The 26448-nt window shown below is 42.2% G+C and overlaps 1 protein-coding gene across 20 annotated transcripts in view; it reads left to right on the plus strand.

Annotated features, from left to right (window-relative positions):
- Positions 1-26448, plus strand: part of PHACTR1 (phosphatase and actin regulator 1) — a 571071-nt gene that overhangs the window by 450186 nt on the left and 94437 nt on the right. For 11 of the 20 annotated variants that reach the window (NM_030948.6, NM_001242648.4, NM_001374581.2 and 8 more), the window contains one exon: positions 15567-15734. In NM_030948.6, coding sequence (NP_112210.1) covers positions 15567-15734 — 168 coding nt within the window. Of the gene's footprint in view, positions 1-15566; positions 15735-17846; positions 18054-26448 lie in introns of all 20 variants that reach the window. The other 9 variants (XM_005248934.4, XM_047418373.1, XM_047418372.1 and 6 more) reach the window with 1 other exon arrangement.

Below are 26448 nucleotides of genomic sequence, written 5' to 3' on the forward strand. Positions count from 1 at the left end.
GTATATTGTTTGGTCATTAATAAAATAGTGATAATATTTCTCACACTTGGCGAGGATCTCACGAAGTCACCTGGCTAGCTACTGATTATTCCAATGTAGGCAGGAAGCAGCTGAAGCCCAGAAAGGTTATTGATGTAACCTAAGTCACAGCCGGTGAGTGTGAACTCTTAAAACCCCTGCTGAGATCATATGTTCTTCATGTGGGATTTATAGGGACACAGGAAGGCTATGCACATTGGTTATCTGAGAATCTTAATAAATATTGCTATTACTGGCTGTTGCAAGTAATCTCTACAAATAAACATGATGCTGTATTTGTAGAATGTTAGGGATAACAGTGGTGATTGTGCTATTTCCATCACTGAATTTCTCTATGAAGCCTCAATTCTACCACAGTGTCACTCACTTTGTATGGTATGGGTATGTGTAATTCACGTGGATGTATCTTTTATTGGGAGGATGGGGAGGGAAAAGAAGACCACTTCTCTACCATCCGATGAAATGACATTTTCCCTGCATGTTAGACAATTCCACACCCTAAATGTGGCAGCCTGCCGTGAGATCAGTGAAGCTGCCGCAGCTCACCTAGTAGTTTCCACTGCAGTCCTACCTAGACCTGGGGGAAGAGGTAATCCTACAGGGAGGGGAAAAGAGATAAGGAGGGCATGTATCCTGCAAGGAAAGAATAAAACTGACAGTGTGCCAGTGAGCAACTTTGCTTTCCATTGTGTGCTGGAAATTAGAGATAACATGCCACAGCAAGTAATAAAGTACATTGAGGTATGTTTTTTTCCTTAATCAGGTTGGAGCAACCTTAATCAGGTTGGAAGGTGTTATTTTTAATTATAAACACAAACAGAAGCTTCCTGAAATGGACAACTCTTTTACACAGGGGTCGCATTTTTCGTCTTCTGACATTCAAGATGAAAAAGCCCAATATTTAAATTAAAAGGTCATCGTATTTTAAAAATAAAAATAAAACTTCTTCTCTGTATTAGAGGAGACAAATGTAGACTCGAGCCTTCTTAAATCCCATAGTTTATCTGGTATTCCAGGTGCATAGACTTCTAAATCTTGACGTTTATAGGAAATGCTTTTCACAGCCTTTACCAGGCACTATTGTTTGTCATGTTTTTAGCTGTTTCTGACGTCTCACCTAGAAATGGCATTTTCTGAAAGCTGTGATTTGGAGTAACCATGTGAAAATGAAAAGAGTGTTTACTTTCAGCATCAACAACCTATAATCATTTGTGTAGCACCTAAGCACTTAATACAATAGGTTTACTTGGACTTGCTTTTTTAACAAAATCCACCTTTGAAAATGTAAAGGTGTTAAATTAAGACAGCTAGAAAGTGGTTTAAACAATAAGAATAAAGAGCAATTGTGATAACAATTCTCTTAAGCAACACTGTTCTTTCAGAAAACCACTATCCCAAACCTAAAGAATTAGTGAGATAATAATTATTATTGTAGTGAGTAAGCGTTCCACATAAATGTATTCATTCATTATATGTCTGTGAGTGCCTGTTGTGTTTCAGGCACCATCCTGGGCACCAGGAATACTAGGAAGGCCAAGCCAGGCGTCTCTGGCTGATAGAACTTACAGTCCTGATGACGGGTTTAGTCTGCTTGGCAGTTACAATGGAGAAAGGATAGTATTTTCAGGTGCATGTGGAAGCATCACCCGCCGAGGCCTGGGGACTTAGGGAAGGCATCTTGGAAGGAGTGGTATCTTAGAGGAACCCTGCGGGGTGAGTAAGAATCATGCTAGAGAAGATAGGAGGGGTAAGGGAATGTTACAAGCTGAAGGACCAGTCCAGTTGGAGGCACGGAGTCAGGAATAAATGAAGAGAAGGGGTAAGAGTGCCCAGCATGTCTGTAAGGAAAGGGGGAGTCAGGACAGATCATGCAGACTGGAAAATTATGTTCATTGTTTATTCTTCATCTTGAGAACAGTGAGGTGCTTTGGGAGGGTTTTCCACGTAATCAGATTTGCAGCCTCATCACACTGCCTGCAGGGAGACTGACTTGCAAGGAGAGCAAGACATGAATCAGGGATACCAGCTAGCTGACCGTTGCTGGGATTCAGAGGATGTGATGGTGGGTAGTGGGGAAAAGGGTAGTAAGCATGGGGAAAAAGAGAGGACAGACTGGAGAGTTCTAGGAGGTGAGGTCTAAAGGGACTTGTGACCACTTAGATTTGGGGAAGTGAGGAAAGGGAGTAGGCAGTGCTGAGACTCAGGATTTGGGCGTGGGCGACTGGGTAGACCATTCCCTGAGCTGGGATCCCGAGAGAAGTGAGTTTAGGACACAAAACATTGTGATGATTTGTCCCCATTGAGTCTCAGATATCCAAATATCTAAGTAGACCTCTAAGTATACAGACATGAAACTCAAGGGAGATCTGGGCTGGGCTGGGCTGGAGATGGTTTGGACTGGTCAGTGTATACATCCTGTAGTCATGTAAATTGATGGTATTTCTCAGAGAGAATGTAGAGTAGGAAAATAAGGTGGCCCTGATAGAAAACTCCATGGAACCCCAACATTTAATGTTTGGGGAGTAAAAAAATGACCTAGGAGTAAGAAGGACCCTCAAAAACTAAGAAGTGGTCAAAAAATAGGAGGTCAACCAAAAATGTGTAGCATTATGGAAGCCAACACAAGAGACTGTTGCTCAGCTGGGGACAAAGTGGCCCACACTGTCAAATGCAGACACATCAAATAAGACAAGGAATGAGAAAAAGATCAGGAATAAAAGTGCCCTTTTGATTACATTTATGCTATTATATAGATTCTTCAGTTACCTGTGAAGCCAGTATGCAGGCAGCAGGGTGTAAGTTAAGATGCTCTAGATGCAGGTAATAAAAAGGTTAAAGAGACTGAAACAATAAGCAAATTTAGAAAGTCTGCAGGCTAATAATTTTTGTATGTTTGTCCTCTAAGGTATCCCAAATGCCTCAAACAATCTTAGAGTTTGTTGGTGCTCATTTCATATTTATTGCGTGAAAGAATGAAACTCACATAATAAAGTCCAATTGTAGGGCAGCTCCAGGGCTGGTTCATTCATCAGCTGTGTACCATGGCTAATGGATGCCATCCTCTGGCTGTAACTCCTCATGGTGACAAGATGGCTGCAGCAATTCCTACATCACATGCGTATACCACAGTGTACAGGGAACAAACGAAGGCTATATCTTCTTGGTATCTTGATGACAGCAAGAAAATTTTGCACCAAAGGTTTTTCAGGATTACCCTCATGTCTCATAGATGAAAATTTGCGCAGATAACCATCAGATATTTTCCTCTAATTTTGACAAATGTTTCCATAAATTTAAGTATTGCAAGTACAGTCACCTGCCTGAGTGCTGCTGCATGATGTAAATTCATATTGGAATATCCACCATGAAACCACCCTTTCTAACTGCTTACCTGGACCCCTCCTGTGAACTCATGGCAGGGCAGGGTACGTGGGGCATAGTGGGCATCAATGCCTCATCCACATGTCCCCGGCCTTCCAATGCTCTATTACTCCCCAGCCACTGACATGCATTGACCTTTATAACTGGAAAGCCAGCCAAACTTTGGGAGTCTAGTAGCTGATGAAGGAAAAGCTGGAAATAGCTTAGAAAAATGTTCCAGATTTCATACTTTTGCCCAAGACTTGTGTAAAGTTAGACAAGTCAATGGGGCACGCCACCCAATTCATAATGTCTAAAAGAACAGTACTCTTGCAGGAGTCCTGAGCCAGGGTTTCCAGTTCTGGCTCCATCGTGTTCTGTCTGTGGAAGATACAGGGCATCTTTTCATCTCTCTAGACTCTGGTTTCTGATTGAATATAACCCCAGGACCCTAGACTGCTGCCGCCAGCAAGGCCATGCTTTCATTTGATCCCTTCTCACTGTTCCCAGGCCCAAGCCTGCTTGATTGAAGGCAGTCTGTTACCAACCGGGTGATCCTCCTAGAGTCTCTGGGAATCATTCCATCCTCCCATGGAATGATGAACTCTTCAACTCCATTCTGGCCCTTGCCTGTCATCTCATAAAGGACATAATCCCGTTTGGGCTTAAAGGACGTAATCCAATGTGGGAAGTTAGGTCATCACCTGCTTAGAGCAGGTACTCGATCAAGGTTAGCTATGGTCTCCACCAGCCACCTGTTCTCCCTGCTCTTCTGCTCTCCTTTCATGCTTTTCTCAAGTCCTCTTCACAGTCCCCACCCCACCCCACCCCACTTCCGCCCAAGTAGAGCCGAGATCCACTGAAGGCTCAGGACTCCTCCAAGGGCCATGTGTGCCTCTGTAGTTCTGTCTCACTGCTCTCAGGGCTCCCACTGTCCATGTGTGCCCTGGAGCTCATCCCCCATCCCAGCACTCCAGGTTTCCCACAACTGCAGTTTCTCTAATAGGACTACAGTACACTGAGCCAGACACTCATTATGGTGGAGATCAGTGTAGCAGCATCATTTTAACCTCTCTGTTCCAGAAATGGATTGACTTTTGCATACATGTAAGGCCCATGGTTGTGATTTTCAAGTCTACCTTGAGCGGTGCTGTCCAGTAGAACTTTCAACAGTAACAGAAATATTCTGTCATCTGCATCGGCCAATGCAGTATCCTCTAGCTACGTGTGGTGGTGGAGCACTTAAAATGTGGTTACTCTGATTGAGGAACTGCTTTGTGAATTTTGTTCAATTTTAACGAACTTGAACACCACTACATGTGTCTAATGAATGCCCTATTTGAGAGCCCAGCTAGAGAAACAGAGCTGTGCAAATTTTGAAATGGCCATCCCCTATAACTTCCCTCCCCCAGCTCTAGCCAATTTTTTTTTTTAGATGGAGTTTCACTCTTGTTGCCCAGGCTGTAATGCAATGGCGCAATCTCGGCTCACTGCAACCTCTGCCTCCGGGGTTCAAGTGATTCTCCTGCCTCAGCTCCCAAGTAGCTGGGATTACAGGCATGCGCCACCATGCCCGGCTAATTTTTTGTATTTTTTGTAGAGACGGGTTTTCACCGTGTTGGCCAGGCTGGTCTTGAACTCCTGACCTCAGGTGATCCGCTCACCTTGGCCTCCCAAAATGCTAGGATTACAGGTGTGAGCCACCACGCCCGGTCAACTCTAGCCTTTTCTAAAATCTTGGATGCTAGGCTCAGTTGGGCTACCCTATTAATGATGAAAGAGGCCCCTTTCACAATGACTGATTCTGTGAGATTCAGACTATCAGATTCCATAGGAGAGAAACTGTGACATTCTGTTCATTTATATTCAATCTCTGCCCCAGTTGCATTTTTTATATCAAAATGCCCAGAAATAGCAAGATGGTAACTCCTCTTTCAGCTACAAACCTTGGAGCCAGAGTCATTGTTTGGAAATAGTGGTCAGAGCCCTGATAGTTCATGAGGATACATCATCTGAGAAACCATGCACTTGGCGTGCAGACTGCTGGGGAGGTATAACCATACCCGGGAGACAGGCACCACACAATTCCATGTAATGAGGCGCTCAGGTTACCAGGAGGCTGAAGGCAGGGGAAGCAGCCCAGACTCCACATGAGCCATGGTTTATTGACCATGAGGTGCAGTCAGAGGCAGCAAATACTAATAAATCCAGCAGGAAACAGCTCCAGGGAAGTGCAGCTGAAACAAGCTACCCAGGGTCAATGTCTTTGCCACTCTTGTGATGGAAAGTCATTGCATCTCACCTATTTAATGTTTTAGGCAAAGGCTTCTCAGCAAGAAGGAGAAGCCTATTAAAATCAAAATAGGATAATAAACTCAGAACAATAACCACAATAACAAAAAGCAAGATGATTCTTTGAGTACAAAAACAGGTACCATTTCATTCCTTGTGTGAAAATATCCACTCCAAGTAACACAGAATCAATTAAATTCTGAGAATGAAAATAAATTTTGCACAGATTTTCAAGGTAGTTGGATTCAGAAGGATTTTGTGAGATGCCTGCGTGAGGCAGAAAAGAACATCACGGCTCTTGCCAGATTGTTCTTGCATATTGGTCAGAATAATCCAAAGACTTGGCTGCAGGTAGGGGTAAAAAAACTGGAAGATTCTCTGACTTGTAGATTCTGAAAATATAGGTTCCCTGGTCCTACAGTCCCCTGTAGTGTCTGCCTCAAATCCTGACAGTGCACAGAGACTTTTAAACACAAACACACACAACAAAATGACTTTTCTTCACTTGGAAAAGTCCAAAAGTGCCAAAGAACTAATGTATTTGGTTGGTACAAATGTAATTGCAGCTTTAATGAAAAGTAATGACAAAAATTGCAATTACTTTTGCACCAACTTAAATCGTTTTTTGTTTTTTTCTTCTTCCAAGTAAGACTATCAAGTCTTTTTAAATGCCCAAGCATCAAATGATAGTCACACTCATTAGTAAATAGGCAACATTTAATAAGAATATATTGCCTTCTATGCTCTACATTTAAAATTCCTTAAAATGACAACTATGGCACCATGTAATCACACGAACTCCCTAAACTCAGGCAAACTGGAGAAAATATCTCCAACAGAGATTGACAAATGCCTCAGAAACATTTCCAACTTCTTAGGCTTAGAGCTTTTAATCCATCGAGGAAATCCTTAGATAAATTATTACTTAGTTAACTGTTACTCAACACATCATTTTACGTCATTTTACTGACTATCGGGGCAACTGGCAGCTTCGATTGCAGTGATTTGAAAGGTTGTTGGGATTAACAGAAGCTTTCAGAGCTCTGCATCTTCTTGCTAAAACGACACCTCTCTGAGGTGTTTAGATGGAGTTTCACTCTTGTTGCCCAGGCTGGAATGCAATGGCGCAATCTCGGCTCACTGCAACCTCTGCCTCCGGGGTTCAGGTGATTCTCCTGCCTCAGCTCCCAAGTAGCTGGGATTACAGGCATGCGCCACAACGCCCGGCTAATTTTTTGTATTTTTTGTAGAGACGGGTTTTCACCATGTTGGCCAGGATGGTCTCGATCTCTTGACCTCGTGATTCACCTGCCTCGGCCTCCTAAAGTGCTGGGATAACAAGCGTTTTCCATTGAAAACAATAGCTATGCCCCCTTAATGAGTGGATTTTTTTTTTCTATTCACATAGAAAACATATATCAATGTCAAAAAAGTACATAAGACGAAGTCTCTATTTCAGCCTCACTAATGTTAGGACCACTAACACCAGAATGACACTTGTGTGGGAAGCACCTTAGACTCTCCATTTGAGATGCACAAAGGGCATGTCTGGGAAGCTAAAATGGGAACACAGAACATGCTGAACAGCAGCTCTTGTCTCAGAGAGAAAAGGCAATTAGCAAATGCTTGCGTTAGCCTCCTCTTCTGTGTCTTCACAAGGATAATTATTTGCTTTAACACAGGGTGGCTTGACTTCTTTATTTTGCTAACTATAGCCATAGGTGATCATCAGTAAATTAAAATGTGTTTGAATTTTTGCAAGCATGCATGTGTAAATTCAACACATTTGCATTACCAACAAAGATGCAGTGTAGTTAATTCTTCTTATGATTTTTGGTCTAAAATTGTCGCATGGCACTTCACTTACATAATGTTTCTTTACAATGGAAGCATAAATGTAGCCATGGTTTCATGATGTTCATTATTCTCTTCTACAAGAACTAACAGTTAAGAGAGTTTGAGTTTTGTTAATCACAACTACATGTCTTATTTATAAAGGATTCTATGTGGTTCTTGCCATCCTTAAGGAATTAAAATTTCCAAGTAAGCCATTTTAAATTAAATCACATACATTCTCTCTCTCTCTCTCTCCCCCTCCCTCTCTCTTACCATATAGTACTAGCTCAGCATCTACTGAGCTAGGGACTTCACACAAGTTATTTAACTTTCTAATGTTCACTTTTCTCTAAACAATGAGAGTGATTTTGGTACTAACTTCATAGGATGGATGGATGGAAGGAAGGAAAAAATAAACACAGCCTGGCACATAGTAAGTTCTCTGAAATATTGTTTCAGAGGTTGTTATTATTACTATCATATATAAAAAGTCCAACATAATGCTGGACACCGAAGATGCTCCAGAAATGTTTCTTTCTCCTTTCATTTCTTCCTCCCTGTCTCTCTGCTGTGTACAGAGCCTTTTTGTGTAGAGCACAGATTTCTAGATCTATGTGAAAACTTTACTTACAAGTTTTTAAAAAATAAAAATATAAAACTTTGTTTAGCCAACAATAAAGCAGAAATTCATTCATTTACTTTCTAGTTCTTGCTGTAATAGGTCTAAACCGTATGTCAGGCAAGAAAAAGAAAACCTGAATATAAAATGCTGTGCTGTGTTAGCTCATCTGATATTTCAGGATGATTTGCAAGTTTGGGTGGGGGCGCTTTTTCTCATCTCTTCCAGCCCTCATGCAGAGAATACTTTGATCTGCAAGGAAGTCAGGCATCATCCAACACAGTCCTTTTCTTTTCAAGGGGCAGACACTAAGGTCCCCAGAAGCTAAGTGGCTTGTTGAGAGCTAGTGATGGCCAGGATAACAGGGCTCTCCCTGTGCTCTGAGTCAGGGCTTCTTTCCATTGCAGCTGCGCTTCACCCCACCTGTCTCTCCTGAGAACAAATTAGAGGCGCTCACCAGCACACCTCTGTTAACTGAGGTTAGCAGGTCCCCCAGGAGAGCATGGTTTCTAACACCATTCTTTCTATCACCTGTCAGTGCCTCCTTCGATTTCTTTTTACCTGAGGCGGAAAAAGCATTCTCTTCCCTTGAGTCTCCAGACTGTTAAGGATTTGAGGGGCCCTCTATTAGCACTCTTCTTCTGTCTCTGAATTTCTGAACCATCTTCTGTCTCTGAGTTTCTGAACCATGTGAGAAATAAGACAAATGGGAGATCGAAGTAGGGGATCTCCTTTATCACTGGCAAAAGCTGGGCTGGAGGAAGTCGTTGATGGGTCTGATCATGCTCCTCCCCTAGCCTTGACCTCAAATCAGCCCACCAACTGGGAAAGTCTGAGTCTGGAGTCAACACGGGTCCAGGGCAGGAGGGAAAGGATGGATTGGCTCCCCCAGTGGAGACACAGGGGCCAGTGCTTATACCCCAGCAATGAAGCAGCAGTTAAGAGGGGCAAGAGGGTAGGCAAGCAGAAGCCCTGGGGAAAACGTCTCCATGTAGAAACCAGAGGAATGAGGAATGGGTTTCCCCTCTAACCAAGCTATTATTGTTTTAGTGTAACATGGCAGCATGCAATTTTTTTGTATTTTTAAAAATAAATGTAAGCATCTTGCAGGGGAAAAAAAGTGAATGATCATTAAGTTCTATATCATGCCAGATTCACTTCAGAGCTTTGCCAACCTGCACTCATATTTCATTTTCATGTCATTGTAATCCACATGTGCATACTGTCCTCCATTCCTGCTTTTGTGCTTGACATTATTTCAAACACATCTCATGCATCCACGTCACTCACATGGTCATTTCATTTGCATTTCTCTAATTCCTAGCAAGGTTATGCATTTTACAAGTGGCACCTGGGACTTGATTTTTTATTTACCAGAACAAACACTCTTCCTACTTGGAAGAGTATGTTCTTTTATTAGGTCTGTGTAGCACGTATGTTTCCATTGTGCTGCTTTTGTTCTTCTGTTTGGTGTACAACATTTCCTTTTGCAAATTAAAAATCAGAAAGTTCTATAAGGAAGTCAGCACTATCCATCTGGCTTCCCTCTTGAACAACCTGAATAAATAAATAAATATATATTTGTTTCTACTATTCTATTTTTCGTACATTTTTATTCTGGTTTTAAAGTTTTATTTTTAGTTTTTGGATCTGTGTGAAATGTATTGCCATATTGGTTCAATATATAGATATAAAGCAATTCTTCATAGTCATATTCAATGGTTATTTATTAAATAAGGATTTCTTAGCTCACTAGAGATACATTTTAAACATGGGTTTTCAAAAATATGAACCATAATTCATATCATAGAAAATCAGATTTAGTGGTGAGCTTACATTTATTAATGTACTTTTGTGTTTCAGAATTAGAGTTGACACTTTTAAAAATCCTAAACTCCAGAGGGTCCTGAACCCTGAGCCTTTTCAGAATAAAATGTCCTTCCTTCATACAATATTTTACCAGATATGGTGGCTCATTCCTGTAATTTCAGCACTTTGGGAGGCCGAGGCAGGAGGATCACTTGAGCCCAGGAGTTCAAGACCAGCCTTGGCAAAATAGCAAGACCCCATCTCTAAAAAAAAAAAAAAAAAAAAAAAAAAAAAAATCCAGGCATGGTAGTGTGCACCTGTAGTCCCAGCTACTTGGGAGGCTGAAGTGAGAGGATCACTTGAACCTAGGAGGTAAAGTCTGCACTCCAGCCTGGGTGATGGAGCAACACTCTGAGAGCAAGACACTCTCTGTCTGTCTGTCTGTCTCTCTCTTGCGCTCTCTCTCTCTCTCTCTATATATATATACACACACACACAGACATGCACACACATATATGTATGTATGTGTATATATGTGTGTGTGTGTGTATATATATATACATATCAGATTTTTATATCTATTTCTAAATAAAACTCTTGTTACATAGGTACCCATGAGAGCCTGAAAGAATTCCTGTCACCCATTCTCCATAGTGACAGTCATCTATAAAAAACAACTTCGGTTAACCATGAGGATTTGAGAAAATGTAATTGAACAGAAGTTGATATTGATCACCCCAAAACCAGGGGGTGTCCCTAAAGCCAAATGAAGAACAATAATGTAGCAACAAACCATTTTTTTAAGCCACTTGGACAAGGTCCATTTGAGGTGTTTGCCTCATGCCTCACTTATGGGAGGAGCGGCAGGCTGGGGTATGGGTAAGCTCCAGGGCCCTGGCAGCAGCCTACTGAGCAGTTGTTTCTACAAGTATCATAATGAGCTAACAGCAAACCTCTGGCTTCTCCATGAGGTCATTGTCGGGGGTTGGAGGTTTCTGGTAGATGATGCATGTTGTCATCAACAGGTGTTTGTCTATTGAATGAGTTTATTCATTCTCTCTGATTTGGTGTTAACTTTGACTCTCCTAACATCTTTGTTTCTTATGCTTCACCAGAAGAGGAGAGTAAGGCTGGCACAATCTTGGTGGCCAGCTCTATATCTTAGATCCGTTGCTTTCTATGTCTCATGATTTAAGACTTATGACATTGACCTACACTGACATCTGCATACTATTCTCTGCTGCTTCTGTAACCTGCTTCTACCTTGTTAGACGTGTCTGCCTCTGAAACACATTTTTCTTTTCCACTTCATCCTTCTGCTCTCTCCAGCCCCATTGTCCTTTGTGTCAGATTCATATTCATGATCCACGGTTAGACAACACAACTTCCTGCTTCCTCATGCTGTCTGTCCCATGTTAGCCACACAGCCAGCATTTCCTGCCGGAAACCTCATCAGGACGAGGCACAATTACACTGCAGTTTCTCTTGGCTCCTTTACTCTTTATCCTTAATTCAGTGTTTTCTCAAAGCGTGGTACCCTGACCAGCAAAAGGAGCACTAACATCACCCAAGGACTTATTAGATGTGCACATTCTTGGGTCTCACCCAGAAACTACTGGGTCAGAAGCTCTGGGGGTGAAGCCCAGCAATCTGTTTTTTAATAGCCTCCAGCGGGTTGCTATGCCAGCTACAGTTTGAGAACCACTGTCTTAACCCATGTCTCATCCTGCCTTCTTTCTTCCTGCTGTTTGCATTTTACTAATTCTAATAGGAAGCAGCTCATGATTGGAGGTTATTGTGTACCATTTTTCAAAGCCATTATCACAGATGACTTTAGAAGTTCATGTAAAACATCAGCATAATTTCCAACACTCAGTGAACACTGTCTCATCCACACTAACAAGATGGTGATGACCTAGCTAGATGGGGATACAGATAATGCCTAAGCCTCACCTTAGTGAGGCAAGTTACGTTCTTCCTGGGGAGAATTTTTTAATAATGTGAATTTTTTAATGCTGGTAAAGATGCTAATAAACATTATCAATTGGCTGGGTGCAGTGGCTCCCACCTGTAATCCCAGCACTTTGGGAGGCCGAGGTGGGTGGATCACTTGAGTCAAGGAGTTCCACATGAGGCTGGGCAACATGGCAAAACCCTGTCTCTACAAAAAATATAAAAATTAGTGGGGCATGGTGGTGTGGGCCTGTGGTCCCAGCTACTCTGGGGGCTGAGGTGAGAGTATCACTTGAGCCTGGGAGATGGAAGCTGCAGTGAGCCATGTTCATGCCACTGCACTCCAGCCTGGGCAACAGAGTGAGACCCTGTCTCAAACAAACAGCAACAACAACAACAACAAACCCAGTACTGATATATAAATAGCAGGACATGGAGAGACTAGTCTTCAAATTCATAACACTTGGAATTACCAAGCATTAGGAATTCCCAGATAATTCCTTAGCTTAATGATGGGTATATACAGCCCATTACATTAATGTTTCGTGTGTGTGTGTGTGTGTGTGTGTGTGTGTGTGTGTGTGTTTAAAAATGTCATAATAAAAAATTTAAAATATTACTTAAAAGTGGCAGTATTACTCCATCCTTAAATGAATCCAAGTAAAATAGTTTTTACTTTTATTGCTACCCATCTTGGTCATAAATGATATTAATAATGAATTTGTACTTATTGAATGGTTTTCATTTCTTTCTACTAGATATGTATACACATATATGGATGGATGGGTGGTTGATAGGTAGGAAGATAGGTAGGTAGGTAGGTAGATAGATAAGTAGATAGAGATAGATAGATAGATAGATAGATAGATAGATAGATAGATAGATAGACAGAACAAGGTTATCAATATTAATGTTGAAGAAATTGCCAAAAGCTAAAATATGTGTATGGTCTGTACATTTCTTCTAATTGTGTAAATTGGAAAATCCTTTAATAAAACAATTTCACAGGATCCATGTATGTGTCAGTAGACATTGGAATATTAATACATGAAAATTTCATTTACTGGAATTTATCCTAAAGGGGGAGAATTCTAATTGCAGAAAAATTGTATGCAAGACGATGGTCCTCACTGCATTTTTTTCATAATAGCATAAGTCTATCCCTTTGTGACCAACCAAATGGGAGCTAGCCAAGTAAATATTGATATATAGTCATCCAGTATAATCATTAAGATGATAGTTATGCTTATAATAGTATGGGGGAAGCAAGCTATAAAACTTGGCACACAGTAAGATTACAATCTTGAAAAACATGTTCAAAAAGAGGAAACTGTTTCTGTTAGGTAGGGTGGTGATATGATTAGTGTCTTACACCTTCTTCTCCTGTTTTTACTTTTTCAAAGGAAATGTGTATTTAGCAATTATAACAGTGGAGTTCCCAAGCTTATTTCCTCTCCAAAGTGGTTTGGGCCTTTGTGATTTAGCCACATTACTTTTAATCTATAGAGAGCCCAATTTTTCAAGAGTTAGTATGTCCCAAGAGGAGCAAGCAATATTGCTTCTCTGTTACCAGCCAAGCCCAGGATTCATGGAGAGAGTCTAGAGTCATCCAACCGCAGTTACATCTCTTTTTTCTAATGTTGCTTCTATGGTACTCTTAACTGTTAAAATGTATGGCAATCATTTGATTGCATCCTTCCCCCAAAGAAGCAGAACTTGGCAAGAGCCCTGAGACCTCCGTCCCCTCTGGTTGTCTCGTCCAGCACTTTTATTATACTTTGGAACATCAAGAATCAAAGCGGTTTCCTAGAGATGTGTTAGGCTGAATGACAGCTGCATCATTATTCCACCAACTGGGAAATTGAAACAGAGTTACTTCCCACGGCATCTGTTTGAACATGCTAAATAAAGGCACGTTAAGAAGACTGGGGAGCATCCATGATGGGATAGCGACACACTGACGCTCAGCCCTTCCCATCCCAAAGACTCCCAGTTCATCTGTGTGATTTCCATTGCATGGGCTTACAGTCTGCACTGCTTTTGCTTTCTTATTAATTAGTAATCATCATATTATTGATCCCAATTATAATAACTTTTACTACCATTTTGGGCATATAAAAAAGCGGAATTAAAAAAAGAAAAAAAAACACACTCTTCAAATGCTGGTGCTTTACACTGTCCGCTTCAGATGATTTTTTTTTGGCATTCATTATATTTTTTCTATGCTTATAGAAGATTCAGGTCAAACACCATATGCCCTTGAATCATATGCTGTTTCAGGCCTGTTGGTTTGTTGATTATTCTGTTAAACAGATATTCACTGGACGGACTCTAATCGGGCGGGGGTGGGCCAAGGAGGGATTCTGTGCCACCATAGATCAGTGATTTATAAAATTAAACTAGAGGTGGAACATAGCAAAAAGGAAAGGATTATTTACCCAAGAATCACCTTGGAGTCACTTAACTGTTTCTTTTCTACGAGTTGTCATCTTGCTTCTGGTTTTAAGTCGGATAATTGCTCTGCTGGTTTCTGTTTCTGACTCGGCAGAACTTAGTCTTTCATCTGGTGTTTATTCATCTCGCTGGAACAGCTTTCAGTCCTCTTTAAAAATTAATTTGACTTTAATGTCTAGTTATCTAAGACTCCCCTGGGCTAGGATGAAATCACACAGGGGGAATTGTGATTTGACAAATGGCCATTGTATGGGAGCCTTTGATCCTGCACCGTGGTCCTTGTTTTGCTGAGCTTTAAGCAACATCAAAGTCTGCACTACGTGGCGTGATTGGTGGTCGGCACCGGGAGAATTCTGGCACTTCCCAGCATCGCTGAGTGGCTGCAGCCTGTTAGGTGCAGATGAGAGCTGTCCTAATAGTTTATCCAAGTAGAGAAATTGGACCAGGGTGGAGGCAAACAGAAGACAGGACCTTGGTGCGTGTTGAATGACATGAAGCCCTTTGCTCCCTAAAGTAGGAATTCCCAATCCTGGTCTTCCAATCTCTGAGGCTTGCTGAGTTTTTTCCCAAGTTTTTAGAAATTATGAGAAAAAAATAATTTTAATTTACTTTTTATTTTTAAAAATACATAGAAAATGGCCGGGCGCGGTGGCTTATGCCTGTAATCCCAGCACTTTGGGAGGCCCAGGTGGGCGGATCACCTGAGGTTGGGAGTTTGAGACCAGCCTGACCAACATGGAGAAACTCCATCTCTAATAAAAATACAAAATTAGCCGGGTGTGGTGGCACGTGCCTGTAATCCCAGCTACTCAGGAGGCTGAGGCAGGAGAATCGCTTGAACCCGGGAGGCGGATGTTGTGGTGAGCCAAGATCATGCCATTGCACTCCAGCCTGGGCAACAAGAGTGAAACTCTGTCTCAAAAAAAGTAATAATAATAATACATAGAAAACGTGATGGATTCGGGTTAGAAAGACACAGAGAAAACAGGCAAAATGCTGAAGATCATTGGAAATTTTTGCCCTGATGATTAGACAACATATCTCTAACGATGAAATAAATGTCTTAAAAGCAAAATAACAGATGTTGGTTTCAGAGGCTGACCTTGATTGTTCAGCAGCATCTAGACTCAGCAGGCGGGAAGTGCCACTCTTTCTTGAAAGGCAGACATTGTCTAACTCTGCAATCTCCTTTTCTCTCTGACAGATGGGGAACTCTCTATATCCAATGAAGAGGACTCCCTAGAAAATGGGCAGTCCCTGAGCTCCAGCCAGCTGTCTCTGCCTGCCCTGTCCGAAATGGAGCCAGTCCCAATGCCCAGGGATCCCTGCTCATATGAGGTGCTCCAACCGTCAGACATCATGGATGGGCCAGGTAATGCCCCGGCAGGATTGTAGAGCAGGTCCCAGACACCAAGTCCAGCCAGGCACCAGGGATCTTTGGCCTGGCTGGACTTGGAATTCTATTTTGGACTATCCTGAGCGTAAGGATCTGGAAATTTAGTGAAACAGATTAGTTTTTAGTACATACTGAGTATTTTTAAAAATGGAATATACTTACACTTATTATCCTACAGTGTTTAAAAAACTCTTTACTACCTTAATCTCTTTAAAGATGATATGGCTTATTTTTGTAACATTAATGATTTAAAATATTATTATTTTGTTTTTTAACATTCATCTCTGTTAAGATAAAGCTGAGGAATCCTACATTTCTATATGATACCTATCTAATTCGTCTGTCTGAAAGGTCCTTTAGTCTTAGTCCCAGTATGCCAGTTAATACTTGTATCAATTTACTGGATATAGTCAATTAATTTAATTGTCTATTAAACTGTATATAATTTACTGATTGAATTGTATCCTGCTGATAGCTGATTTTTGATGCCATCTGACTGTCATCTCCTTCTTTGGTCCAAAGGTGGCTGAGTGGCCAATACTCATCCTCTCAGAAGGTTTGCAGAGCGGTCCTAATTTGCCCCAAAATAGGTCCCTCCTGACAGCTAATGAGCAGTGGTACTTGTCAGGAGATGAGTCTGGGAGAAGGAACCTCTTGCAATATCCAGAGTATAGATAGAAAGGCCTCTCTCCCCATCATGTGCAAAATCCACATCCATAGGCAGTCACGTGGGAGGGTGGGAGGGATGAGGTTTCACAGGGTTAATTCCCATGCTTCGTTATGGGACCCGGTGAGTCATTGCTCCATCACTGTGTGCCACATTGACAATAATAGTGTCCCTGAGGCAGGAGAATGTAGTGCTCATGAGGATTTTCAGCAGGGCTTTGGTGCTGCACAGAACACCTGATCAGGGAGGAGGAAGGAGGGTGGGGAGGGGAGGAGTCCCTTACAGGCTTTCTCACTGAGGCGGTGGCGGGAGGTGAGAGGAGATGCAGTGGAGTTACACCCTCCCACCCCAGGGAGGGTTTCCCAATGAAAGCAGTGCTTTTTTAAAAAGAATCCAGACTTCCTTGTGACACTGAAGTCAGATAGATTTGACTGTTATAGTAAAAATCTGTCATTCCAGCAGAATCACAGAGTTTCAATCTGTCATCAGCCAAGCTACCGGCATGATAGGAAGGTGTGTGCCACCACCCAATGACAACTCTTCATGAAAGCCAGTCAGGGGTTCCCCCATGAAAGAAAGGAAGAGGCGCGTCCAATGCAGTGCAAAGAGAAATGGAGGAATTGATAAAAGAAAACTATAGTTGTGGTGAGCAAGAAGAGAGAGGAAAGGGGAAGATGAAAAGGTTGATTTAAAGCATCCCTTGCCTCGTCAAAGTTTACAGGAGCTGGTGGGGGCAGGATGCTGTTGCTAAAACTACAGAATTTGGGCTGAGAGGCTGCTGCTCAGCGCCGGGCACTCCAGAACCTGGAGGAGCAGCCGTCCAGTGCCTGGGGTGCAGCCTATGAGGTGTCAGCGTTCCAGGCTGTCATCTGTACCCAGTGTCGCAGATTTGAGAGCAGAGACAGAGCGGACCCAGTGGACAAAACTGAGCCCCTCCACTTGTTTGAATCCACTCCCTCTTGCCCCTCAGCAAAGGGCAAGCAGGCCCCAGCGAGGCTGCTGGCATTCAGTTCTGGTTTGGTTTAGAGGGGCTCTGCATCCTGGGCCTTCTGCACTGGCCACCCTGGTGATTCCTGCTGTGCCCCATGAGTCCCATCTTAGAGCATGTGTAGGGTTTGCATGACCAAAGCTGAGTTTGAAATGGTCAAGTGTTTGATGGTTTTGAGAAAACATCCTCCTCCTCTTTCTCCCTGTTGCTCTTCCCGCCTCCACTCTCTCTCTTCCTCTGCCTCCTCTCTCTGTCCTCCTGCTTCACTGGATTTCTGGCCTCCTCGCTGTAGCTCTCTACACATGCGTGGCGGCCTGAAGCATCGGTGCTCCGCTGTGTTGCCAGCCCGAGTCCCTGTCCTGTGTTCCCCGCTGGCCCCGCCTGCACTGCGTTTGTGTAATGTCTCCTGTGTATCATGTGGTTGTCCCCTCAGTGTCTGAAGAGAGTCCCTCTGCCAGTGAGTCTGGAGTCCTCCTGTCCCAAGATCCTTCAGCCAAACCAGTCCTGCTACTGCCCCCCAAAAAACCTGCTGCTTTCCCTGGAGACCATGAAGAGACCCCAGTGAAGCAGCTGCCCCTTCTCAAGCAGCCCCCGGCCCTGCCTCCCAAACCCACTACCAGGATTGCCAACCACTTAACAGGTGAGTGCAGACGTCTTCTGGGGCAAGCAGTCCCTCCTTCCCTTCAAGGGATTTTCTTTTTCTCTTGTTCTTTGAACTGAGGCCTGAAGGCAGCTCTCTGGGGAGGTTGCCCTGTGGGATGTTTGGGTGTTTCTGTGTGTGTCTTGATATCTGCAGTCATGACCAGGGTTTGTGTTTTTGTGTCAAGCAGCATTTGATATCCACCTACCAGCCATATGCCAAGAGCTTTCAGTCATGTGTATCTGTAAATGTGTACATTGTATTTAAGTGACTAATTCAAGATTATTTGCTCATCTAGGTGAAATCGATTCAATGTCAACATTTTTGCAAAGATAAAGAATAGTGCCTTCTCCATATGAGTATGTCAAGGTTTTAAATTTTTTGTCTTTAAGTTATTGATCTGAAGCCCAGTGTATTTCACCTATTAAAATTCATGTCAGTGCTGTCTGTTCTCTTAGGGAAAAAAAAAAAAAAAAGACAATCTGCAAATTATGTGGTAAATACTTTTAAAAGAAGAGTAAGCTTAGCAATGTTGTTCTAAAATGATTGCACACGTCCTTTGCAGTGTTTCTGAAGTGTTACTTAATGAATGTAGCCACAGGCATTAAATTGAGCACTCAGTGAAATTGTACTTCACTGCACTTTGGCACATGAATTAGATACCACTTTGTGATTGAAGGCTGTGGTATAATCAGAGATTAAAATATTTCAGAGGGTCATTTCTCCAACTTTGATAATAGTTTCACCTGATGCTGATCGACTGCCTTTTTAAAAAGCACTCGGTATTTTGACAAATAATACCTAGGTAATCATTGTAACATTTTGTAACATGTAATGGGGGTGGAATTAGGGAAAAATATTCACCTATCTTATAGGAGAAACACTGAGGTTCAAGAAAAATAAGTGACTTCCAGGGCTGACAGGAATTCTGTAATAGAGGCACAATCGATGCTATATTTCTCAACTCCGAGTTCAGCTAATGTTGTTTCCAGAGCAGGCTGTCTTTCACGTGATACTGAGTTCTATAAGAGTCCATCTTAGACATGGGCTCATGTCAAACTAATCTATTAATGTGTATGTCCATCCAAGTCAGATGTGTATGGCTTGAAAGAGCAAATTTCCATCAAACGGAACCATCTAACATATCAATAACACTTTTGTTCGATGTCCAAAAATTGAAATTCACAGAAAACTACAAAGGAGAAAAGGTCCCATAAGCCTCCTTCTAGGCAATATCCACTGTCCATCTGTCTGTCTATTGAATAAAAATTGAATGTTGCTGTACGTATTGTTTTGTCACCTGCTTTTTGCACTTGGTGATATATTGTAAACTGATTTTCGTGTTAGTAACAATTCCACAACGTGATTTTATTAGCTGCTTGGATGGATCAGGGTTTACTTGACTGACCCCTTAAAGTTTTTCCATCTTCCTTATTGCTAAATCGCAACAGCAAACAACTGCAACAGCCTGCATATATCTTCATAAGCACTTCTGAGTTTTCTCTAATTTATTTCTAAAATTAGAACTGTTGAGTCAAAGATTATGCACCCTTTAAGGCTTTGATGTCAAATTTCCCTTAAGAAAGATTAAACATTGTACAAAATAAACCCCTACATGTAGTACATATTTATTCAACACATCTACAATAGGCAGAATACTGTACTAAGTATCAAAGTAGATAGGAATATGTAACAGTTTAATGCAGCTGTCCTCAACCTTTCTGGCACGAAGGACCAGTTTTGTGGAAGACCATTTTTCCACAGACCGGAGGTGGGGCGGGAGAGATTATTTCGGGATGATTCAAGTGCATTACATTTGTTGTGCACTTTATTTCTATTATTATTACATTGTAATACATAATTAAATCATTATACAGCTCACCATAATGTAGAATCTGTGGGAGCCCTGAGCTTGTTTTCCTGCAACTAGACAGTCCATCTAAGGGTGGTGGGAGACAGTGACCGATCGTCAGGCAGTGGATTTTCATAAGGAACATGCAGCCTGGATTCCTCACATGCGCAGTTCACAATAGGGTTCGCGCTCATCTAATGCTGCTGTTGATTTGACAGGAGGTGGAGCTCAGGAGGTAATGGTGAGCAATGGGGAGTGGCTGTAAATACAAATGAAGCTTTGCTCACTCACCCGCCACTCACCTCCTGCTGTGCAGCCCGGTTCCTAATAGGCCGCGGACCAGTACAGGTTCATGGCCCTGGTGGTTGGGGACCCCTGGTTTGATGAATGCATATATATACGTAGAGAGAGAGTACTAACACAACTACTGTTAGCAGTAACACTTGCAATTCAATGCAGTCTGATAAAGAGAAGGCTGAAGCTTGAACTGACTTTTCAAGCATGAAGGACATTTATAGAAAATGAGGGAAGAGTATTCCAGGAAAGAAGACCCTAGACAAAACCTCAGAGGTGGCAACATTTTGGGTCATTGAAGAGTTGGCTGAGTAGGGGTGGAAGCTTCATTCTGAAGTATACTGAGAGACAGGACTCACTAGAAAAAGGCATAAAAAGATTTAGATTTTAATCCCTAGGCAGTGAAAAAACTTTGGAGGTTTTTAAGCAGAGGAGTGATATGATGAAAACTAGCCTTTAAGAGATCTTGGATCACCATGTAGAAGGAGCAGAAAGAGGAGCAGGTTGAAGGCCTATCAGAGAAGCCACCACCAAGGCTAGCTCTAGGCCATGCACTCCAAAGTCAGATCAGCTAAATGGACTCAGCCATGGGATACCATTGAGCCAGGGATACCCTGAGCCACGGATACCATTGAAGAGGCTTCTCCAGTCATTGAAATATGAGCTAACAAGCATCTGACTGATATCAGTGAGAAGAGAGAGAGCAAACCAGTAGATATGACATTGTAAAAAGAAGAGTCAGCAGAATTTCTTAACTGACGACACCTCTGATTTATCTAGTTATCTCATTAATGGAGACAAACTTAAGTTTCATCTATGAGCCCAGGAGCTCAGGTGGCCTGGTATCCACAGGGTTCTTTACATATGAGAGACCGAAGATATCTCAATTGGCCCCATCTCTCTGGCTTCCCTGGTCCTTTCCTGAGAGAGTAGACTCTGTTATCTATATGCCTCACCTCTATACAGCTTGGATCAAATGAATAAAAATACACAAAAAGCTAATATCCTTACTATGTAGTACCTGGTAACCTCTTAAACATGATAAAGTAAGACAGGTGGAGAAGTCCGTGGACTGCAAATCTAGTGCTATCCTTTTGGGCTTAAACTCAATTAGACTTGCTTAATTTTTATAAGTGAGCAATCAGTTATAATGAATCTGCATCACCATGAGGTAGCTACATTAACCCTGTTCTGTTACTAATTGCTCTGAAGACATCTGGGCCATGTCAGAAGGAATTAATAAACTAAGAATTCTAGAACTCTAAATTGAGACTCATGAGTTTTAGCCTGTTCTCAGTGTCTGCTGCTCTGGTGACATGTTTGAAAGGAAACACAGGACAATTGAAAGACACCAAGCGTGATTAATGGGGAGTGACAGTGGCTAATGGTCTGGTAGAATGCTGGAGGAAATGTGAGGCTGAACTGGAACTACTACCAAATTCACAGTCAGGGAAAGTCATGCAGAAATACCTCTACCGTGGCGTTTGCTTCCACTTTATCAGGAAAATGTAATTAATTTGGAGAGTATTTGTCTTACAAATTTCTTCTGTTCATCAGCCAGGTGGGGAGAAGTTCTCTCATTCTCCCTGTCTGTCTTGCTTCATTTCTTGTTAAAATCTCCTTCCATCTCACCTCCTCCAACATCAACCATGCAACAGCATGCGATACAGGGCCAGGAGTTGTTGGCATCAGTTTCCTTTGTTTCCAGAAGTACAGTGTCCGACAGAGCTTGTTGTGTAATGAATGTGATCTGAAGTGAAATGCATCCTTCTTGGAATCCTTGGAGTGATGGGTGACCCCAAAAGGGTGATGAAGGCAAAAGCCACTGTCTCCTGCCTCTCTAAGTCATCATCAGTCACTTCTCTGTGGCATTCTGGCTCCAGAAGTCAGATGTTCAACGCTGCATGAATAACCTATGCCTTCTGCATAAGGTACCTGTGGCAGGTGCCCCCGGCATGCCAGTTGAATGAAGGATAAATCAATTTAGCTGGACTTCACAGTCAGATGTTCACATTTGGGTAATAATAATGTCAGCCTTTTTTGAGAACTTTACCACATACTCTTTGATATTGTTATCATTATTACCTCTTTTCACAGATGAGCATGAAATTTGGAGAAATTAAAGGACTTGGTCGTAGTTACTTAGCTAGTAAGTGGCAGATAAGCATGAACCTATTTTTTTTGACTCCAGAATCCTCATTTATAACCATTTGTTTATAGTATCTCCACCAAAATTCCCACCCCCCCTTTTTTTTTTCTTTTTTTGAGACAGGATCTCACTGTATCTTCCAGGCTAGAGTGCAGTAGCACAATCACGGCTCACTGCAGCCTCCACCTCCCAGGCACAAGTGATCCTCCTATCTCAGCCTCCTGAGTAGCTGGAACTACAGGCACATGCCACCACGCCTGGCTAACTTTTGTATTTTTTTGTAGAGAAGGAATTTCACAAAGTTGCCCAGGCTGGTCTGGACCTCCTGAGCTCAAGTGATCCACCCATCTCTGCCTCCCAAAGTGCTGGGATTACAGGAATGAGCCACCTTGCCCGGCCTATTCCCAAATCTTTAAAAAAATCAGCTTTCTTTGTGTTTTAGCATTGTATGTTTTCATCTGCTTAAGAAGTTTGAAAATCGGCCCCTTTGTTTTTAAAAGTTGTGTTATTCTGCTTGGGCTGCCGCAACTAAAGAATGTAGATTGGGTAGTTTACACAACAGAAATGTATTTCTCTTAGTTCTGGAGGCTGGAAAGTCCAAGATCAAGGTCCGTAGGGTTCGGTTTCTAGTGACATATCTTTTGCTGGCTTGTAGACAGCTCCCTTCTCTCTATGTTCTCACATAACAGGGAGAGAGAAAGAGATCTCTGATATCTCTTCTGCTTTTTTTTTTTTTTTTTTTAAAACAGTTTCTACTCCGTCGCCCAGGCTAGAGTGCAGTGGCATGATCTTGGCTCCCTGCAACCTCCACCTCCTGGGTTCAAGTGATTCTCCTGCCTCAGCCTCCCGAGTAGCTGGAATTACAGGCTTGTGCCACTATGCTCAGCTAATTTTTGTATTTTTTTTTTTTTTTTAGTAGAGGTGGGGTTTCACCATATTGGCCAGGCTGGTCTCGAACTCCTGGCCTGAAGTGATCTGCCCGCCTCAGCCTCCCAAAATGCTGGGATTACAGGCGTGAGCCACCAAGCCCGGCTTGATGTCTCTTCTTATAAGGACATTAATCTTATCATATTAGGGTTCCATCTTCATTGCCTCATTTGACCTTGATTACTTCCTTACTCCAAATACAGTCACATTGGGGGTGAGAGTTTCAACAGATGAATTTAGGAGGTGGGGGGACACAATTCAGTCCACAGCATGACTCAAGGACAAAAATTATCTAGTTCTTCAAAAATTAGTCATATACTCAAGGCACTTGGTTATAAAGAGGAGGATCTGAGTTCAGTTGGGTCGGGTTTCAAAGAACAGACCCAAAGGAGACAGTTTGTGTAAGAGTCAGGAGCAGGGGTAAACCACATGGGAAGCATCTGACCACAGTTAGAGATTACTGACACTTCAGCAAAGAAAGGAAACTGAGGCTTATCCTTGAAAACAAGTCCTACTGATAATACACACCTACCCAGGACTTATTTGCACAGTGGTTAGAATTCAAAATACAAGGAAACTTAATATATTCTCAGAACTTAGTTGATTGCTCATTTCAATGTTACCAAAGTATTCGCTACTACAACTTTGCCTGACAAATGGTGTCCATGACCTGTGTTATTTTCAGCCCCAGCATGTGTACCTGTGTAACAAGAATCCTCTCTCCATGCTTGACCAATATTCCTGGTTATAGCTATCTCTCTAGTTTTGTGGACTTTTTCACTGTTCTACAGTCACATGCTGCTGCGTAATTTCATTATGTGTCTCTGTTTTTCTCTGATGCTCTCTCTCCCCCATTGATCCCCACATTCCCAACCCTCCATGTCCTCCTCTCCAACCCTCCAGAACCACCTGGCTACTTCTGCCTCTGTCCCTGCCTTCCCTCCCAGTAATCCCAGTGCAATAAAACCAAAGATTAGACCACTGTGAGCTTGGACTTTATCTATGCCTTTAAATGGAAAAAAAATGAATGTTTGCATAGAAGTCTCTCTTGGTAACTGATAATTTGAAGGTGTTCTGTGTTCTTTGTGAGATGGTCGGTCAAGTGCAGCCATAAGGTTTATTATACTCACGGGCCCTAGAGACAGGAGGCACGGCTCACCACACAGGGCACATGGGGAAGCCTCAGGGTGGTCAGGAGGCAGAAAGCAAGGAGAGGGGAAAGCCGAGGCCAGAGTGTTTATTGGGGTTTCTGCAGAAAGGCAAAGCAGGGCAGACAGAGCACTTTAGGACTGGCTAGTTTGCATGGTGTCAGCAGGCTCTAAGCTATACAAATGTTCTATAGTTGCCTGGTACCTGGCCATGGGATGATTAAGGCAGAGGAATAATGCATCCTGGGGTGGACAGGCCTGATAGAGGAAGTCTGGCTCTGGACTGGCTTGTTTCCATATCAAAGGGCTGCTCCTGACTTGGCCCTTGCTAACTCTGAGAATTGGTCAGCCCCAGGAGGGACAGTCTCCCCAGCCAGAAAGGTTTTTAAGATGTCAAAACTCATACAAAAAATAAAAAATGGAAACAACACAGAACGAATGGGGGAGTTAGCTGATTTTACTTTTTATACTCACTTTTCTACCCATTTCTCCATGTTTTTCCAGTCTTGTTTCTATTCTCAAAATGCAGAAGTTTTTTTTCTGCAGTGCATACAAGGACTATCTGTTGATTAAAACAGTTTTTAAAGGATGCTTTCTGCTCTGATTTCTATAACCAGGGCAAAGAGCGTAGCAAAATACCTGTCTTTTTTGTAGCACTGTTAGGTTGGAGATTTAATTCACTCAGCACTTATGTTTTCAATGCCTGCTATGTGCAAGGTGTTCTGCCAGCCCTCATACAATGTACAAAAATGGTTAAGGCCATCAGCGGGAGGAGCTGCAGGCTGTGATAAGCTACAGAAAATGTTTAATAGGAGGAGATGTAAACATGGCTCTAAATAAATTCAAGTATAACAAGTCAAATCCTTTTGGAGGAATCAAGAAAAAGCATCATTAAGGAGGAGTTATTTAAGACAAGCCTTAAAGATGAGTGGGATTTTGACAGGTAGGATTGGAGGAGGAGGTTGTTCTTAAACAAGATGCAAAGGACACACAGGCACGTGGGTACAAGGCTTATTATGTTCAAGAAATAGCAAATAGTCCTATCAGCAGGGATGTAGGATTCTTGTGGTGTAGTAAGGAAAATTGGGGCTGAAAAGTGGATTGTGGTGAAACTGTGGAGAGCTGTGAATGTCACGAGGAAGGATTTAACTTTGTAGAAGGAAGTTAGCATCTTTTGTGCACTTTTTAGCAGCAATTGCTTGATTTCAGCCAAGCATGTCTCTCAATTGTTCCTGTGAATAAGATGGACAGTAATGCTGTTCGATGGATTTATAACTGGATGTATAAATAAACTGGGGCATGTCCAACATCAACATGAAATTGCAAAGGGCACCAAGCTTCCTTCCTTTTGCATATTTTCTAAACATCCCAGGGGTAAGTTTCATGAGGGCAGGGATTTAATCTGATGTGTTCCCTGCTGAGTCCTTAGCTAATGCTGAACAGGAGGCTTTGTGAGGGAGAGAAGCCCTGTTGCTGAAGGAGGAGTTTGATGATCTTTTGCCTGTATCTTCATAGCAGGATACTTGCATTTTAGGGAAGTTAGCAAAATGTTCTCCAGTTCTAAGTTCTGCCATAAATTAACCCTGATTCCCCTGTATTCTGTAGTGTTTGAAGGAAACATGATAACCTAGATGTAAAAGCAACCCCTTTAAAGAGTAGCAGTTAGAACATGACAGTCATCCATATTGGTCAAACTCATGGTCCAGCCGTAGTTCTCAGGCCGTACACTAAGAATTTTGGAAGGAAACAGGCATGCTCTTACACACACCAACTACAGACAGTTAGACCAGCCATTAACATCATTGTAAATGCAAAAAATACGAGTGTGACCTCCAACAGTGAATAAATATCATCCTGCATCCAAGAGATGCAAGGTAAGAGATGAGCTGCAGCCATCCTTGTTTTTCCTTTAAAGTATTTATGGATCTAGCTTGAACTTACACTGTCACCATGAATATTCTACCTCTTAATAGCTCTCTGTGTATATATATATATATATATATATATATAGTTTTGGGGAGTGTA

This window comes from Homo sapiens, chromosome 6, assembly GCF_000001405.40.
Source record: "Homo sapiens chromosome 6, GRCh38.p14 Primary Assembly".
Lineage (NCBI taxonomy): Eukaryota > Metazoa > Chordata > Mammalia > Primates > Hominidae > Homo > Homo sapiens.